This window comes from Homo sapiens, chromosome 12, assembly GCF_000001405.40.
Source record: "Homo sapiens chromosome 12, GRCh38.p14 Primary Assembly".
Classification (NCBI taxonomy): Eukaryota; Metazoa; Chordata; class Mammalia; order Primates; family Hominidae; genus Homo; species Homo sapiens.
Genome location: NC_000012.12, coordinates 26,553,181 through 26,572,174, shown reverse-complemented (window position 1 = coordinate 26,572,174; position 18,994 = coordinate 26,553,181). Strand labels below are relative to the sequence as shown.

Below are 18,994 nucleotides of genomic sequence, written 5' to 3'. Positions count from 1 at the left end.
TTTCAGCAATTCTTTAAAAACACACAGAGGCACTAAAGTTTAGCAGAATTCAAATATGCAAGAATTTTTAATATTAAACAGAACAAGGGATATGCATATTTAAAATGCAACAAAGTCAAGAGAGTACTTTGTTTATAAGGCAGATTTTCAGTGCATTTCCAAGTTGGTAAACACATTGCTGTCAATGTAAAGATCAATTATAGTCATATTTATATAACATTTTATGATTTGTAAATTGCTCTCAAGTACAGTAGCTCAACTCATCTAGCATCAAAAATACTTCATTCTTTTTCTTAGTTGTACATGGAATACAAAAGGTAGTAAAAATCAGCAGAAGCACTCTCTAAGTCAGTGTTTGCTTTGCTGAGAGCAGCAAGCATTTACTGAGTGTTGGAAAATCTAGTGAAATCTATGATGTGGACATAATTCTTAGCTCCATTTTATAGATGGGGAAATGACGTTATCAGGGTTTGGCAGCTTTCTGAAGGTCACACAGGTAGGCAGGGCCTGAGCCAGGATCTGAATCCCTTCTGCACTGACGTGCTAGCGGCATTAACCTCTCCTATCACAAATCTCTGCTCTGCTATCACAAATCAGTTTAAGCAGATGTGTTACCTGTTTTATACCGTGTGCATTGTGGATCAAGGTGGTAATTTAAGCTATACATGAGACAAATATATAGAGTTTTCAAATAAAGTAAAAAGAAGGTGAGGAGCTAGTGAACTGAGTTATAAGGGTTTTGGGAAAGTCCTTTATAGAAAAAGAATACTTCCTATCATCTATTGCTTTTCCTCCTTTCCCTTGATTGCTCCAGAAGTTTGCTGTAACTTTATCTATTGCCATTAATGTTTTGAGGCTATGATCCTCTGTGAGTTTACTATGTCATGTCGAATTTTTCTGATAAAACTTCAGAAGTTTTTAAAACTGAAGCCACGATCAATTGTGAATATACCATGTATATCATGTTAGATTTTTCTGATAAAATGTTTTAAACTTTTAAAGGCTAAAGTGCTTTTGAATGTCTTTTTATATGTAGAAATTACTGATATTTACCTCCATTGTTACGCTGTCTTCTAAGATGTAGGACTTGAAATTGATAAGAAGATACAAGCTTTTAAGTGATCATAAATGCAAATTCCCCAGCAAAGTCATTACATGCAGGGGGCCTAACTGGAATGTAAGGTATAAACATCTTTATCATCCTCTGCCCTCAATGAGCTAAATTAAGGGTGATGGTGGGAGCAAGTAAGGATGGAGAGCTCTGCAGTAAATGTACACCATGGTGTTCACAGAGATTTGAGAAACGTTCAGGGCATTAAGGCTATGCGAATTTTTTTAATGCACTTGGTCAATTGCTGTTCCTCAGTTGATTCGTTTATTTGAAGTAAAATAGCACATGGTAGAAGTATAGGACTTTGAGAAAAAGTATCCAAGAATTACTTCCATATTATTCCTCTTAAAAAAGAATTTTGTTCCATGTGTTTCATAATCTTCAAATGATTTGGGGGAATTAATGCTGGGTACTTTGTTGGCAACATAATCTATTTTCCAAGTGGAAATTCCATAAAATATCTTTTACAAATGTTTTGAATAATAAACATCAATTTACAAGCCAACTTGTCCCAAAAAATTGTACATGTAGAAAATATTAACTCTTTCAGAAGAGAAATTCAGTCTCTATTAAATAAACATTATATCTATTTTAATCTATCTAAGGTGTTGTGGTTGATTTTAGAAGGAGCTTGACATCATATATCCCTGTGATCACAGTTTTTAAAAACTCAATTATTACTAAAAAAATTAAATCTGAGTAAGTTATAAAATAGGACAATATCATACAATTTTTCACATATTTATTAACTCAACTGATTTATAATGATTCCTCATTATCTGAAATGCATTATTCTAATTTTGGGGGAAATGCAATATGTCAAACCATGTTTTCTACCCTCGATTAATTTCCAGTATATTAGGGGTAGATATAACATGTACAGAAATAACAAAGCAGAATAAAAGTAAGTCCCCTACCTGTTATAAAATTCTAGAGCCTGACCTTGTCTATAGCACAGTAGGTACTCAATGTATATTTATCACATGAATAAAATAAATGAATACAAATAAATGGGTGAGTATCTCATTCTTCTCTTTGGCTGCATAACATCCCATTTCATGACTATTAAAATAGATTTAACCTCACTATTGGATATTTATGTTGTTTTCAATCATTTTGCACATGTGAATAAGGTAAATACCTAGGAATAGACTTTTTGGGTTATTTCACTTCTGACGGATGCTGCCCTCTGTAGAGATTGTTCAATTTACACTCCACCAGCAATGTAGGAGAATGTCTTTCTTCTTCAGTGCGTTAGATTTTTGCCAACCTTGTAAGTAAAAATATTTTTGTAGTTTTAATGTGTGTTTCTCTTTTTTATGAGTGAGGAAAAAAACATTAAATGATTGATATTTCCTTTTCTGTGAACTGTCACTTCTTGTGCTTTCCTTATTTCTCCTAATAGGTTTTTTTCTTAATAATTTGTGTAACCATTTTTAAGAAAATGATCTCTTTGCCTATAAGTAACAATTTTTTTCTCTTTTTTTCTTTTCTGATTTTTTTTTTTTTGAGACAGAGTCTTGCTCTGTCGCCCAGGGTGGAGTGCAGTGGCATGAACATGGCTGGCTACAGCCCCGACTCCCCTGGGTTCAAGTAATCCTCCCATCTCAGTCTCCCGAGTAGCTGGGACTATAGGCACGTGCTGCCACACCCGGCTAATTTTTGTATTTTTTTGTATAAAGAGTTTTTACCATGTTACCCAGGGTGGTCTCAAATTTCTGGGCTCAATCAATCCACCCGCCTTGACCTCCCTAATTGTTGGGATTACAGGTATGAACCACCGTGCCCACCATATTTTTTTTCTTGCCATTTGTCATTTGAACTTTTATTTATTTTTTGGCATGCAATATTTTTAAATTTTCTTTTAGGCTTTTAAGGTTTTCTTTCATCTTCGGAATAGCCCTTATCAGTCTAAGATGTTTTTTGAATTCTCATGGAGAATTTTCATAGTTTTGGTTTGTCTCTTTGTGTTTTGGGAGTTGCTGTTTAAAATTGTGAGCTATCTGGGATACATTTAGTTGTGAGGTATAAGGTGTGGAACCAACTTTATTTTTTCCAGATGACTAATCAAGTGTGCCAATACTAGTTCTTCAATAACCCATAAAAATTACGTGCATTATTCAATGTAAGGATTAATTGAGGATTCACTCAGTATAATTTGAGTGCCAAACAGGAAAGATGAATTTAATATATTTGATGTTCTTCCTGTTTATGTATACTGGTGCTTCAGTACAGATTTATTCTGGGTCCTTTGACATGATACAGGAAATGTGCCATTCTCTGTCCCTGCCATTCCACTTTCCTGTGCTCCACCTGGGCTATACAGTAGAACTTGACAACCAACCAGGTTTTCTAATTAATGCTTACACTTTCTGTTGCCTTTCCCCCCTACCTGTCAGTTTATCTAGCTAAGCATTTTTCTCCATGGCACCTATCACTGCATTGTTTGTATTCTCAGAGATTTTGGTCTGGCAGATACCATCAGTAATTCCATCTAATTAAAATTTTTTTATATAATAAGCAATATTTAATAATAATAATTAGAAATAGATTTTGATTACATCTTAAAATCACTGCAAAGACTTGTCATATCCAGAGAACTTCCGAGGTTTATAAGCCTAATTAGACAGTTGCCTAAAAATAAAAAAAATTGTGAATAAAGATAGCCTATTTTAGAGAACTGTTATCTCTAGGCAGAGCTCTACAAAAGATAAATGCATTGATAACAACCCATCCTCTCTCTTATTAGTTTTTTAAGGGATCCATGTACTTACTTGCTGACAGTGTATCCTTAACAAGGTGTATCTCAATTGCGTTCCAACTTAGAAGTGAACTAGGAACAAGTATTTTAAAAAATATTTTAAACTTTAAAGTGACCCTTTGTATTAAAGTACATAGTTGGAGTTAATGCTATAGGCCAGAAGAATGGCTAACTGTAGTAAATTTATTAGCTCTTCCTTATTGAGAGACAGATGGGGCAGAGAATAACTGCTAATCCCAAGAATACATTCTAGTTCACATTTTGACATTTTATATATATATATATATATATATATAATATATATAATATATATATATATATATAATATATATAATATATATATATATATATAATATATATATATACCAGAATTTTTCTAGCTTAGTAAAAGTAAGCTAACTTTGGATTGTGTTTTTGATTGCATTTGAAAAATATTGTTCTATTTATTAATGTCCTTGTAAGTGAAATGATAAATTAATATTTTCATTTTTTAGACATAATTTTCTTTTTTGTTTTTTCTGCTTTAATTTTTAAACAATGGACAGCTAAATTGGCATTGTTAATTTTGGTTTTGGATTAGTATTTATACTATTTGGACAGTGCAGCGAATTTATTTCCGACCATATCTTTAGAAATACTTGTGTTTTTACAATTGTTTGAAAAAACTTTGTCTACAAAGCAGACTGATTTTGACTCAAAAAATCTTTTTCTCAATTGCATAGTTAATTTTCTATTATTGCCTAAAAATTGTCATTTAGCTCTGTTCAAAGTTTACCTACAGTTGTGGAAAGTAGTATATTTTACCTTGCTAATTTTCATTGTACAGTTCATGTGAAGACAGGAGACTAGATAATATCAATCGAAATGGGATGGTTTGAGGGAAACAAAAAAACCTTTCAACAGAGTTTGGGATCGTGGAGTCTCCCCAGCCTGGTTTGTCCATGGTGCTGGCTATAGAAGAATGTGTTCCATCAGCAGCTTACAAGAGATTCTGGAGGTGGATGAGATTTCCCTGAAGTCACTAATAAAAAGGCTGCATTGTTAATAACAGAGGTGCTGCCATTGAACTAAATTTTCACTGGTGTCATTAGAAAAATATTCATTGAGCACTTCTTTGTGTAAGTCATAGTCATAGCAGCAACACTTATTTGATGGTCAATTTCACCTAATGTACCTGATTCCTAAAGGGCAGATAAATCCCAATCTCCTCCCCAATTTGTTTAAATGTCAGTGGAAACTTGTTTGTAACATGTTTTGAGAAACATTTTATTTTCGTTGCTTAGAAAATAACATAGAAGCAGTATTGTCTTCTGTTTGATTTTTGAATGTTTAGAGCAAACCCAGTTTATGTGTGAAGCAGCCAGAAAAGGATGAAAATCTTGCCAGGATTTGATCATGGTGCAGGATTAAGTATTTATAAAACTATGTGCTGTTTGGCAGAGTTGAGGCCATCTGTCCTTCAGATGAGACAGAAGTGCAGTTGCACTGCTGTGTGTGAAAGACATAAACAGAGATATTGCATGCTTTGGGAAAGGGAAGCGTATCATGAATATTAGGAAAACATTTACTAAGGAAATTTAAGCAGTGGTGAAATTGATTGTTTAAGGTTGCCTTATAGCTGTTATTATTTCTATAAAACTTCAGAGTGAGTTTTTGTCTACATTAGTACATGTTTTTGGTGTGGCTAGTGAAAATTATCTATTTTCTTTCTTCCTTTCTTTTTCCTTTCCTTTTCCTCTCCTCTCCTCCTTATCCTTCTCCTCTCTTCTTTCCTCTCCTCCTCCTCTTCCTCCTCTTCCTCCTCTCCCTCCTCTCCCTCCTCTCCCTCCTCCTCCTCTCCTCTCCTCCTCCCCTCTTTCCTCTCCTTCTCCTCTTACCTCTCCTTCTCCTTCTCTTCTCCTTTCCTTCTCCTCTCCCTCTGCCTCTCCTCTCCTCTCCTTCTCTTTCCTCTTCCCCTTCTCCTTCTCCTCTCCCTCTCCTCTCACTCTTCTTTTCCCTCTCCCTCTCCTCTCCTCCCTTCTCCTCTCCTCTCCTTCTCCTCTCCCTCTCCTCTCACCTCTCCTCTTTCCTCCTCCTTCTTCTCCTCTCCTCTCCTCCTCTCACTCTCATCTCCCTCTCCCTCTCCTCTCCCCTCTCCTCTTTCCTCTCCTTCTCCTTTCCTCTCCTCCTCTCCCTCTCCTCCTCTCCTTCTCCTTTCCTCACCTTCTCCTCTCCATCTCCTCTCCTTCTCCTTTCCTCTCCTTCTCCTCTCCATCTCCTCTCCTTCTCCTTTCCTCTCCTCCTTTCCTTCTCCTCTTCTTCACCTCTCCTTCTCCCCTCCCCTCCCCTCCCCTCCCCTCTCCTCTCCTCCCCTCTCCTCTCCTCCCCTCTCCTCTCCTCCCCTCTCCTCTCCTCCCCTCCCCTCTCCTCTCCTCCCCTCCCCTCTCCTCTCCTCCCCTCCCCTCTCCTCTCCTCTCCTCTCTACTCTCCTCTCCTCTCTTCTTTTCTTTCCTTTTTAGAGACAGGGTTTTGCTGTGTTGCCTAGGCTAGATGCAGTGGCTATTCGCATCACAGTGTACTACAACCTCAAACTCCTGGACTCAAGTGATCCACCTGACTCAGCCTCCTGAATAGCTGAGGCTACCATTGCATCCAGCAAATTGTCTATTTTCAAACAAGTTTTTGAGTATCTTTAAGCTTCAGAGAATTTCCACCAGCTGGTAATATTATCTACTATTTGCTTTCCTTTCATTATATGAAGCAAGCCAGATTATCTATCTATCTGTCTGTCTGTCTATCTATCTATCTATCTATCTATCTATCTATCTATCTATCTATCATCTGTCTATCTATTCATCCAATTTTTTTTTATCCCTTCCTTCCTATTTTCATTCATTTAAAGTAAGCCTTCTGGGGACTATCATTATAATTTTAAATATGATCTTTATAGTTCTGCTATAACCATTTAGGACAAAAAATGTAGCACTATGATATTAAAACTTTTCCAAGTAGAAGAGAATTTCCTAACCATGGAAATAGCTGATGGATCTTTTTTCATTTGTTTCTAACTTAATTTTCTTCTTCAGATTCATACTTAGTTGCCATAGTTTCTCATATCCATGTGGACATGTAAAAATTATTTGCTCTTTTTTTAGAGTAATTTTTTCATAGGGGGTTCATTGAAGAATTTCTGAGCCTTTACGTATTTTGAAATGTTTTTGTTTGGGAATTACATTTGATTTTTAGTTTAGATGGACATAAAGTCCGTGTTTCAAAATTTTTCATCTATAAAGGTATTGGATCTTTTAGCATTCAATGCTGATGATGATAAGTCTGATGCTAGTCAGACTCTTTTTAGGAATCATCTTTTCTCTCTGGAAGTACTTGATATTTTCTCCATACTATTGACATTTGTATATTTTTCTACGGCTGGCCATAAATTAGCATAACTGTGTAGCTTAAAACAACAGAAATTTTAGTGTCTCACAATTTGGAGACTAGGAGTCTGGAATCAAGGGTTCATCAGTACCATGCTCTCTCTGAAGGCTCCAGGGAAGAATTCGTTCCATGCCTTTCTCTTAGCTTCTGAGGTTTGCTGACAATCTTTGGCATTCTTTGGCTTGCAGCTGCATAAATCCATTCTCTTCCTCCATCTTCACATCGTGTGTGTCCCTCAGGTATTTCTCTGTGTCTCTCCTTCCCTTCTTATAAGGACACCAGTTGAATTGGATTGGGGCCCACCATGATTCAGTATGACCTCAACTTAACGTGATTACATCTGCAAAGACCGTATTTCCAAATAAGGTCACATTCAGGGGGAGTGATGATTAATACTTCAACATATACTTTTTGGGGATGCAGTTCAACCCAAAACAGCATTCTAAAATTCTACCAGAATACGGCCAATATGCTTACTTAATCCTGTTTAACATATTGTGGACCTTTTTAATTTGGAGATGTACATGTGTCTTAAGCTCAAGGAAGTTGTCTTATATTGTTTTCTTAATAATTTCTTCTCTCACATTGTATCTGCTATTTCTTTCTGGAACTTATATTTGTTAGATATTTAAATTCCTGGGTTTACCCTCTTTATTTCACAGTCTCTCTGTTTTATTCTGCTTTTTGATCTTTTATGCTTAATTTTTAGAAGATTCCTTGACTTCCTTTCCAGATTACCAATTGTGTTTCTATCAGTTATTTTTCAGCCAATTTTTCACATGTTTATGTATGCAAGGACATTTTAATTTCTAAGATGTCATTCTTCTTTCTGATTTTCTAATTTTTTGGATGCAGTATATACTCAAATTCTCTGAGGACAATAATTAGGATTATTTAAATATTTCTTGCTTTTCCTTGAGTCATCCCTGTTTTCACTAGGATTGGTTATTCTTAATGGTATTGGTTTTCCTTGTGATCCTAGGTGGTGTGTTCGTAATTAGGAAAGTCCGTAATGACTGGCATAGGTTTCCACTGCAGTTTTAAAGGCCTGTTTCCTTCCTAGAATTCTTGTATAAATGACAGGGCTGACCTGGAATTCTGTATGAGAGGCCAAAGGCTGACCAAATGATACTCAGGCTTTCCTTTAGGCTGTGTTTGTGTTTGTGTGCGTGCATGCATATGTGCATGTGTGTGTATAGCAGAGGCAGACTGGGAACACCAGTAAATGTTAAGTAAGGAGGGCTTTGCGCAGGAGTTGGAGAATTTAATATATTTCCTCTCTCTGCTGGTGCTGCCTCTTCTCTCTCCCCACATTCTATCTTTTTTTTTTTTAGATGGAGTCTAGTTCTCTCACCAGGCTGCAGTGCAGTGGTGTGCAACCTCTGCCTACTGGGTTCAAGCGATTCTCCTGCCTCAGCTTCCTGAGTAGCTGGGATTACAGGCATGCACCACCACACCCAGCTAGTTTTCGTATTTTTAGTAGAGATGGGGTTTCACCATGTTGGCCAGGATGGTCTCGATCTCCTGACCTTGTGATCCGCCTGCCTCGGCCTCCCAAAGTGCTGGGATTACAGGCGTGAGCCAACACACCCAGCCCACGTTTTACCTCTTACTTGATGGTCTCTGCCATTACTTCAAGCTCCATTTTGCTTCTCTATCAAGTTCTAACACCTGCATTTGGCATTCTGTCCAGTCAGGTATTCTACTTTCTTGAGAGAACATTTCTTCATTTCTCTGACTTTGTCCTCCAGGTAAAAACTGCTTCTGCCAACTGCTATGTCTATGCTAATCAGAGGGAGGAGGGCCTTAGCTTCCCAGCTCTTCAGCTGTTATTATTTTTTTTAATCCGTTGTCATTGATTTAATTTGGATAAAATATAGAAAAATATATCCTTTGTATCTTACCTTTGTCTTTTTTTTTTGCTATACAAGTTTTTCTTCATGTTTTGTGTTATTTCTTTTTTTTTTTAATTATACTTTAAGTTCTAGGGTACATGTGCACAACGTGCAGGTTTGTTACATATGTATACATGTGCCATGTTGGTGTGCTGCACCCATTAACTTGTCATTTACATTAGGTATATCTCCTAATGCTATCCCTCCCCCCCTTCCCCCACCCCTCAACAGGCCCTGGTGTGTGATGTTCCCCTTCCTGTGTCCAAGTGTTCTCATTGTTCAGCTGTTATTCTTTAATGAGTTGCCCCATATCCCTGCTGCACTTTGTTTTGGTTGACTGCACACCTGGGAAGACCTTTTCTAACTCTAATCTCTTGTGGGGCAGTTTCTTCTCTTCTTTCGCTGATGGACTAATCCCATCTTCATTTTGCCTTGCAAAAATGCTTCAACATTACTGCTTTCTTTGTGACAAGCATTCTCAATTTTCAGTATTGTTGTGATGTAAACTTGTTAAAATATAAATTTCAGCAGATCTTGGGAAGAGAGCAGATCTCGGGAAGAGTGCCCTCTTCCAATGCAGATGTTTTACACTCTTCAACTTGTTATTTCTATTCTCAGATGTTTCATCACATACAATTTTGTGTGCACACAAACACTACTTAAATTAATGAATGGAGTGGAAGAATTATATCGTGTGTTTTATGTCTGCTTTCTTATTTATGTTGGCATCTGGGAAGGTACAAATATGCTGGTTGTTATACAGTGTGTTTCTGTATTGATGCTGTATAAAGTACATTTCAAGCATGAATCATTAAGAAATCAAATAAGTTCTTGAATGTTTCATGAACCCACTTTACTAATTGGTCTTAAGAATTGAAATACATTCAGGTTAGAAGCTTTTACAGTTATATAAAACAAGTTAATGGCAGAGTTTAAAGATTTAATATTTTTTCTTTTATGTTTATAAGATTGTATGGATAATATGTAAGAAACTTTAGTCAAATTAAGAGGGAAATATTTTAAATCTTTCTTTTTCAGCAAAAAATCGTGGAATTGCCATTCCAGTGGATTTGGACAGCCAAGTTAATACTCTTTTCATGAAGAGCCATTCAAATATGGTGCAGAGAGCAGCAATGGGTTGGAGACTATCAGCTCGCTCTGGGCCACGCTTTAAGGAAGCTCTTGGAGGGCCTGCTTGGGATTACAGAAATATTATTGAAAAGTTACAGGTACATGAAAGCGTGAAATAGCATTAATATTTTCTAAATTATATTTTTTAAAAATATGTAGTCACATAAATAAAATATGGTTTAAAATATCAAGTTCTATTTGGGGACCAGGCCTTGCTTTACAACTCTCTACTACCACTGCTCTTTTTAAACATATAGCTTCCATATGTCGTGAGTTATTTTTTAATGAGTGTATATTAATAACTCTGTTTTGATAGTATAGTAGTGAATAGTGGGTCTTAATATCAAAATAATGATCATAATAGCAATGATAACACTGGTAAATCAACTAAATATTCATAATCTTGCTTCAACTTATGTTTTAGTATTCCCTTCTAATCCTTTGGTCAGAATGATCCAAGCACCTTGCTCCCAAATTACTTGTATAGTATCTCACTCCTGATTTAGGCCTGGAAATTGTATTAGTTTGCCAGGGCTGCTGTTGCAGAATGTCACAGACTTGGTGGCTTAAACAACAGAAATTTATTTTCTCATAGTTTTGGAGGCTAGAAGTCCAAGATCAAGGTATCAGCAGGTATGCTTTCTCCTGAGGCTTCTCTCCTGGGCTTGCACATGGTGGACTTCCTGCTGTGTCCTCATAGGCTCTTTCCTCTGTGTTTGCACATGTCTGTGTCCTAATCCCTTCTTCTTATAAGGATACCAGTTATGTTGGATTAGGGCCCGCTCATATGAACTCATTTTATCTTAATTACACTTTTGAAAGCCCTAGCTCTAAAGACAGTCACATTCTGAGGTACTGTGAGTTAGGCCTTCAACATATGAAATTTGGGGGAGTTCTAATTCAGCCCATAATAGACATCTTCCCATTCACATAATTAGTAGAATATTGCATGGAGTTGAATTGGGGTATAGTTTGAAGAAGTTTTTTTTCTACAAAATGGCCAAGACATTAACTGAAATAAATATTATGAGAGGTAACATGTAGATGAGTGTTATACGGGATTAGAAGGACAAGTTAGATTCAGAGAGTATGAGAAACCTAAATGGTGTGAGACATTAAAAATTTTGGGGAAAATGCCATTATAAGTGGTTCTTGATTTGTAGGATAGGGTTATCTAAAAGAGACTAGAGGAAGAGGGACTAGTGAGAAGTTACTTAAGGTCTAAGCCAGGTGGTGATATGGATGAAATGAAGAAATAGGTGTTGCAGATAATAATGAAGGCAGGGTCAGCAGACCTGGGGCTCTTAGGTGGAAGTAGAGACAGGGCATGAGAGGAGTTTAAGAGGCCCCGATGATTAGAGACTAGGTAGTATCATTAAGACTGTTTATTTTAAGAGCAGAGGAGAAGAGAATGCAATAGGAGGGCAATGGAAAATACAGTGAACTAGGGTAGCAGGCTACTGAGTATATTGGAAGTTAAGTCTATATTTGAAGATAATAGTTGGAGCAAGGATAGTGGTTGGTATTGCTAAAAGAGAAAATACAGTGATAGGAGAAAAAAAAAGAACGCCCTATGAGAGGCTAAGGGTAGCAGAATGGCCACATAAAGAGTGCAAGAAAAAAAAGTGGGTCAGAAAGGAGGAGGATCAGGAGAGCAAAGGGAGTGGAACATTTCAGAGGAGAGGTATATAGTAGTGCCAACCAGCACAGAGAGGGTGTGCCTTAAACTTCTTTTAGTAAACTTCTTTTAATAGATTGATATCCATTAAGTAAGTATTTATTTAGTGAAAATTCTATGCTAGCCACTGTGTGAAGTGCTAAAGAGAGAGCCATGGGGTCTATGCTCTTCTGGGACATGCATTCTAACTCATTAAATAAATGATAAATTGTTGGATAATTAAAACTGCAATGTAAAAAATAGAACAGAGTAACAGCATGGTGGAGAATTACTGGGAGGGTGGCCCTGTAATTGTGAAGTTCCTCTCTGCCAGAGTAACAGTTGTGTTGAGATATGAATAATGAAGATGAATAATCTATTCCAAGATTTAGGTTCAGATAGTTTTATGGGAAGGAAATAGGAAATGCAAAGGTGCTTAGACAGGAGGTTGATGGGTTTGAAGATCCAAGAAAAGCCCACTGGGGCAGGAGTTTAGTGAGTAAAGGAAGAAAATATTATGAGATAAGGGGCCAAATCATGTAGAGACTTACATGGTGCTATGGCTGTGCCCTGAGTGTTTGTGTCCTCCCCCACCCCAAATTCATATGCTGAAATTCTAACCCCCAAGGGGATAGTATTAGTATTAGTATTAGGAGGTGATGTCTTCTGGGAGTTGCGATTAGAGTCCCTATAAAATAGGCCCGTGCAAGCTCATTCAGCCCTTCTACCATGTGAGGACACAGCAAGAGAAGTACCCTCTATGAACCAGGAAGTGCATCCTCACCAGACAACAAATCTGCTGGTGCCTGATCTTGGACTTTGCAGCCTCCAGAACTATGAGAAATAATTTCTGTTGTTCATAAGCTACTCAGTTTAAGCTATTTTGTTATAGCAGCCTGAACAGATTAAGGCACATATTAAGGCATTTTAATTGTATTCTATGTGTGATGACAACTCATTGAAGATTTTCAGCAGAGGAGAGGCTGACCTGGTTTACTTTTTAAAAGATCACTGTGAATTCTGAGTGTATTATAAGATCCAGACATGGAAGCAGTGAATCTAGTTAGGTAGCTTTGCATTAATTCAGGCAAAAGGTGATGGTAGCTTGGCTTAAGGAGGTAACAATAGTAATGCAGAGAAGTGTATTAATTTTGTATGTATTTAGTTGTAGAACTAATAGAACTTGGTGGATGAATCGATGTGTTGTAGGATAATGGAAAGAAGAATCAAGGATGACTCTGGTTTTGATATGATTGTGTTATTTACTAAGATAGGAAGTAATGGGAGAGAAAGAATTTGAGGCTGAGTTGAAATTAGGAGTTCTATTTGGGGAATTTTAAAGTTGAGATGCCTATTTAGATACCTAAGTGAGTGTGTCAACTAGGCTGTTAGATAAGTGAGTCTGAAGTGGTTTAGAAAGATGTCCATGCTGGAAATATAAATGTGGGAGTTCCAACATACAGATGTTATTAAAACCATAGAATTGGATGAGATTTCTCGGAAGAAAATGTAGATAGCAAAGAGAAAAGGAGCAGGAGCTATCAAGAGTTGATGAAGAAATAGTAAGGACGTAGGTGGAAAATAAAGTGTGATGTCATAGAAGTCAAGAGCAGAAAGTGTTTCAAAGAGCAGAAACCAGTGTGTAAAATGGTTAGGAGTGATTAAGATGAAGACAGGCAAGTAAACCACTGAGTTTGGGTGATGATCACAGCTAACTGGTGCTCAATAATAAAGATTACTAGCATTTATATGGAATAAGTGGCCTGTATGTGTTAGAGGATGTTCTATGCACTTACCTTTAATCCTTGCAGCAAACTCACGTGATTGTTAGTATCATTATCCTAAGCTTTCAAGTGGGGAAACAATGACTTAGGGAGGTTGCATAGTTGCCTCATGACCAAAATAAGAGTTAAAGACAGAATTCACATCACAGCAGCCTGAGTGCTATTTGTTTAATAGATGAAACAAAGAAGAGGTAATCTAAACAACAGGGACATTTAATTAAATATTGTCATATTTGATAAACATGCTCTCCCCACTTTTATATAATATCTAGTTTTCCCCTTTATGCTAGTTCCCATTAGTCTCTTTTAATTGTTTTCAGACATTTCTCAGAAAGCTTATTTAGAGTGGTTGAAGTAGAAATGATCACTTTTTCAGAAAGAGAAAGAATTAAAACATGAATTAACATAATTTATAAGAAATCAAGAGGGTGACATCCCCATCTGTGCTTCTGTAGCTAAGAGTGACAATAAGCAATTGGCAATGTTCTGCTTGATAAAAATATGCCATAGCTATGGGTGAATAAATTGTTCCTTTATGTAAGAAGTTAGTTTTTTTTTCTTCTAATGTAGTTTAAAAATAAAATGGGGGTGCTTTAACCATTAAAGAATGTTTAGGAAATTATGATTACCTGCAGTTCATTTTAGAAACATATCAGTTAAGATGCTTTCAGCTTTAAATAACACAACATTCAACTAAAAGTGACTTAAATAATAAAGACCATATCATTTCACATAGCAAGAAACCTGGAGCTGTGGCTTTCCTTGAGTTTGCTAATTGTAGGCCTGGGCCCCTAAAACCAAAGGTCTGTAGGCATTCAGCTTGATGCTGGTCTCCCAGGGTCACACGAGGGCTGTCTCAGATTTCGGATTCACACCCTCAAGCTGCCTTGAGAGCAGTAGGTGGTTTTGAAAGAACCTCCCCACACACCACATGTACCCTGCTCTCTCAGCTGACTTCACCTGATGTCTCATTGACTGGGACTGTGTCGCATAATCATACCTGGACAGATTGCTACAGGCGGAAATGGGATAACCATGCCTCTGCTTAGAGTAATCAATCTTGACCCTAAGCTGAGGGGGCTCATCCCCTGAGAATGTTGTGGCCTGACTCAGAAATGACATTGAGATTCTGTTAGCAAGGAAGAGAGTGAAGAAAGGCTGTTGGGTAGGTGACCAATAGGGTCTCTCAAAAAATATAATTTGAAATTCTGTTGAATGTCACTGAACCCATGTATAGTACTAATATTGCTTCAAATAATATTTCAGTGACTTTCCCCATTGGATGAAATGATTCATTCTGAATGACCAATGACACATGGGAATTTTTTTTTTTTCAATTTGAGACAGGGTTTGGCTCTGTCACCCAGGCTGGAGTGCAATGGTGCTATATTGCGTCACTGCAACCTCCGCCTCCCAGGCTCAGGTGATTCTCCCACCTCAGCCTCCTGAGTAGCTGGGACCACACGCGCATGCCACCATGCCTGGCTGATTTTTGTATTTTTAGTAGAGACATGGTTTCACCATGTTGACCAGGCTGGTCCCCAAATCCTGGCCTCATGCAATCCACCTGCCTTGGCCTCCCAAAGTGCTGGGATTACATGCGTGAGGCACCGCACCTGGCTGGAATTTTTTTTTTTTTTTTTTTTAAGCTGTTCCCTGGGTATTCCCCTAATTTATTGCAAAGTAATGAGTACCTCTCATGTCTCCATTATAATCCTAGGCACTGCAGGGCACATACAGTGGCTTAACTGACTTTTCCTCTATAGGTGTATATCCTTAGAAGTCTTATAGCTACCTGTCCGTCCCTTATCTTATAAACAAAAACACACACACACACACACACACACACACAAAAAAAAAAATAGAGACCCAGGCAATATTCTTACATAAAACCAGACTATAATTATGGCACAGACATTTGCTGCTATGGAAATAGAGGGGCATCTATAAAATTCCCATTAGTATTCTTGAGCTTGTCTTATCTTCGAAAGATGAAATCTGACTTACGCCTTCATGTGGGTTCTCTTGTGTTTCATTCCCTAGGATGTAGTGGCCTCCTTGGAGCACCAGTTCAGCCCAATGATGCAGGCTGAATTCTCAGTGTTGGTTGATGTATTGTACAGTCCAGAACTGCTGTTCCCTGAGGGAAGCGATGCAAGAATAAGATGTGGCGCTTTCATGTCGAAGTAAGTGGATCCAATCTGAGATTCTGCTAGTGTCGTCAAACTGACATGGCCTCTAACATTTCCGCTTTATACTTCACTGATATAAAATGACAGTCCGCAAAGTATGCGAAAGGTCTAAAATCCATGTTAAAATATACTGCCAGAATAATTAAATTGATTCATTTGAAATTTTATTTTGGTGAAGGTCAAGTTATCATATTTTACTAAATTTACTGAAAATAAAGTGTGTCATTATGGGGCACAAAGTATCATGCAAAATAATATTTTGGTCCTAATTCCTTTCCATAATTATATGGTGTGACCTTTAAAAAAATTCTTGTTTAAAGTCACTTATTTTCATTAACATAGGGAGAAAGGAAAAAGAGCTAGCTTTTATTGAGGTCTTACTATTGTCATATGTGTTTAACTATTATTTTATCTAATCTGCATAAACACCCAGAGACTGGGAGGTCAGCCTGATTCAGAGAGGAGATTGCTGAGGACCACGTGTGCTTCAGGTGCAGGGTTAGTAAGACTCAGACCCCGCACATGGCCATGCTGCCTGGATGATCCTCATCTGCCGCTCTTCCGTTTACTGATGTTTCTTAGCGTTTGTGGTATTGCAGATCTATTATAGCTGATATGTTTACCCTAGAGTATCTTCATCTTAATGATAAGTGAAAAATTCTCAAGGGAGATGTGCAAGGATAAGCAGTTGTGAGAAAAAGCATAACTAGTTCCAGAAAGAAGAGACTTGTCTTTATGTGGAGGGCACGTTATTGAGGGGGATCCGCAGGTCGTCACATGTAGACCCTAGATGGCCAGTCAGAAAGAGGGTGCTTGGTCTTCCTGGGAAGAGTATCTGGATGGAGAGTCAGTGAGATGAGCTTGCCAAGCCCCTTGACCATGACTCATCCCAGCTAATTCCTGTGTGGTAGAGGGTATTACCAAAATAGATCTGGAAACCTCTTCTATCAACTGTGATATATCGAGGCAGAGATTAAAGGACTAGGGCACACAAGAAGTGTGTTCCTTTCTTTCACCATTTAAGCTGGAACCTTGGGAGTGAAAACAAGGTATGGGATGAGAAAAACTGACTACAGGGATCATGTTGAAGAATAGGTGGGGTTTTTATACTATGGCCAGAATCAGGTATTTTTGGCTTTAGACTCATTGCGTCTTAGGGAGATTGGGAAGAGTGTATTTGTCCAGACACCTGCCAGTCTTGTGAGTAAGGATTTTAAAGTGAAGAGGCCCTGAGTGTACAACTGATGACTGCTGAGAACAGTAGAAAGAAAATTTTAAGTGGAGGTATTGCCTAGTAATTCACTATAAAAATAGGGTGTTGAGCGCAGTTCATTATTCAGATGATGGGTACGTTGAAAGCCCAGACTTCACCACTGCACATACATGCATGTGAGAACTCTGCACCTGTACCCATTACAGATCTAAACATAAGAACTAAATGAAAAAAAAAAGCAAAGATAATAGGATCTTTGATAAATACCCTTCATCTCCTATAAATATATGTCAGTGTATGGAATATGGGTTAAAAGTTAGGCGATAAACCTGTTAAATTCAGTAAATTAACATAATACAATAGCTATATCCCCGAGATGTGACAGCCTGGAACGGGTTGGCAAGCTCTGGCCCTCAGGCTAAATTGGTCCTGCTACTCATTTCTGTAAATAAAGTTTTACTGAAATACAGTAGTGCTCATTCATTTCTGGATTGTCTGTGGCTGCTTTCATGCCACTGTGGCAGAATCAGTTAGTTGCCACAGAGACTGTGTACCCCACAAAGCCTAAAATATTTACTGTCTGATCCTTTAGAGAAAAGGTTTCCTGACTCCTTGTCGAGAACTAGGGTGCCAGTATGGTAGCTACTAGCCACACATGGTTATTTAAATTATAGTTTAAATGAATTAAAATGAAATAAAAATCCACTTCCTCAGTCATATCTGCAACATTTCAAGTGCTCAGTAGCCACATGTGGCTAATGGCTACCAAATTTGGCAGCACAAATATGGAACACGTGTATTTTTGCAGAGAGTTCTGTTAGACAGCACTGGTCTAGAACTTGGAGATACTGGTCTATGAGAAAGTGTTATGAAGTAACTCATGATATCAAGCAAATATTGAGCTGTGCTGCAGATGGAGACAAGCCTGTGGCATCATTAGGTAACCTGAAAGGAGAGAAGCAGAAGTGATGTGATAATAGGAATACATTGCAGATCCCACACGCACATGAAGTAAAATGATGTTGTGTTTACATGAGTAGTTCTAGAAGGGATTTTTGTGCTATTGCAATTATATTACAGCCAGAGCCTCAGGATTGTCTGTTTTCTGCCTTACTGCTCACCCTACCACTTCCCCAACTCTGTGAAGAACTAAGGGTTTCCTTTGTAAGAATATCTTACAAAATTAAAATCCAACTTTATGAATAGCTTTGCCAGGGGTCTTTTTTTTTGAGACGGAGTCTTGCTCTGTCACCCAGGCTGGAGTGCAGTGGCGCAATCTTGGCTCACTGCAAGCTCTGCCTCCCTGGTTCACGCCATTATCCTGCCTCAGCCTCCCGAGTAGCTGGGACTAGAGGCAACCGCCACCAAGCCCAGCTAATTTTTTCTGTTTTTTAAGAGACAGGGTTTCACCGTGTTAGCCAGGATGGTCTCAATCTCCTGACCTCATGATCCACCCACATCGGCCTCCCAAAGTGCTGGGATTACAGGCGTGAGCTACCATGCCTGGCTGCCAGGGGTCTTGTATTGCTGTGCATACCATCCTGGTAAAGCTTAGCTGGAGAATATAAATTTAGGGCCAAGCCCTAAGTAGGGCTTCCTGCTTTCTCAAATAAATCTAATTCTTGGAATCTGTTGACTCAGATGAGTCTGCAGGAGAATATGAGGATAGACCCCAGGACAGGAGTCTACTTAACACATAGAGTGAAAGAGAAGAGAATAGGTCAATGATACTGTTAACCTTTAAGGCGGCTGATTAGAGTCCATTCAAATCAACACCTACTTCTCCCTTGTGAAGGAGAATCTCAGTGTTTTTCAAACCGTGGGGTGTGATCC

The 18,994-nt window shown here is 38.0% G+C and overlaps 1 protein-coding gene across 8 annotated transcripts in view; it reads left to right on the top strand.

The window, feature by feature from the left end:
- The window catches only part of ITPR2 (inositol 1,4,5-trisphosphate receptor type 2), a 497,843-nt gene that overhangs the window by 261,020 nt on the left and 217,829 nt on the right, over positions 1 to 18,994 (top strand). For all 8 annotated transcript variants that reach the window (XR_001748686.3, XR_001748687.2, NM_001414174.1 and 5 more), the window contains 2 exons: positions 10,223 to 10,413; positions 15,800 to 15,942. Coding sequence is in view for 6 of the 8 variants with exons in the window: in NM_001414174.1 (NP_001401103.1) it covers positions 10,223 to 10,413; positions 15,800 to 15,942 (334 nt within the window). In the remaining 2 variants the exon portion in view is untranslated. The remainder of the gene's footprint in view (positions 1 to 10,222; positions 10,414 to 15,799; positions 15,943 to 18,994) is intronic.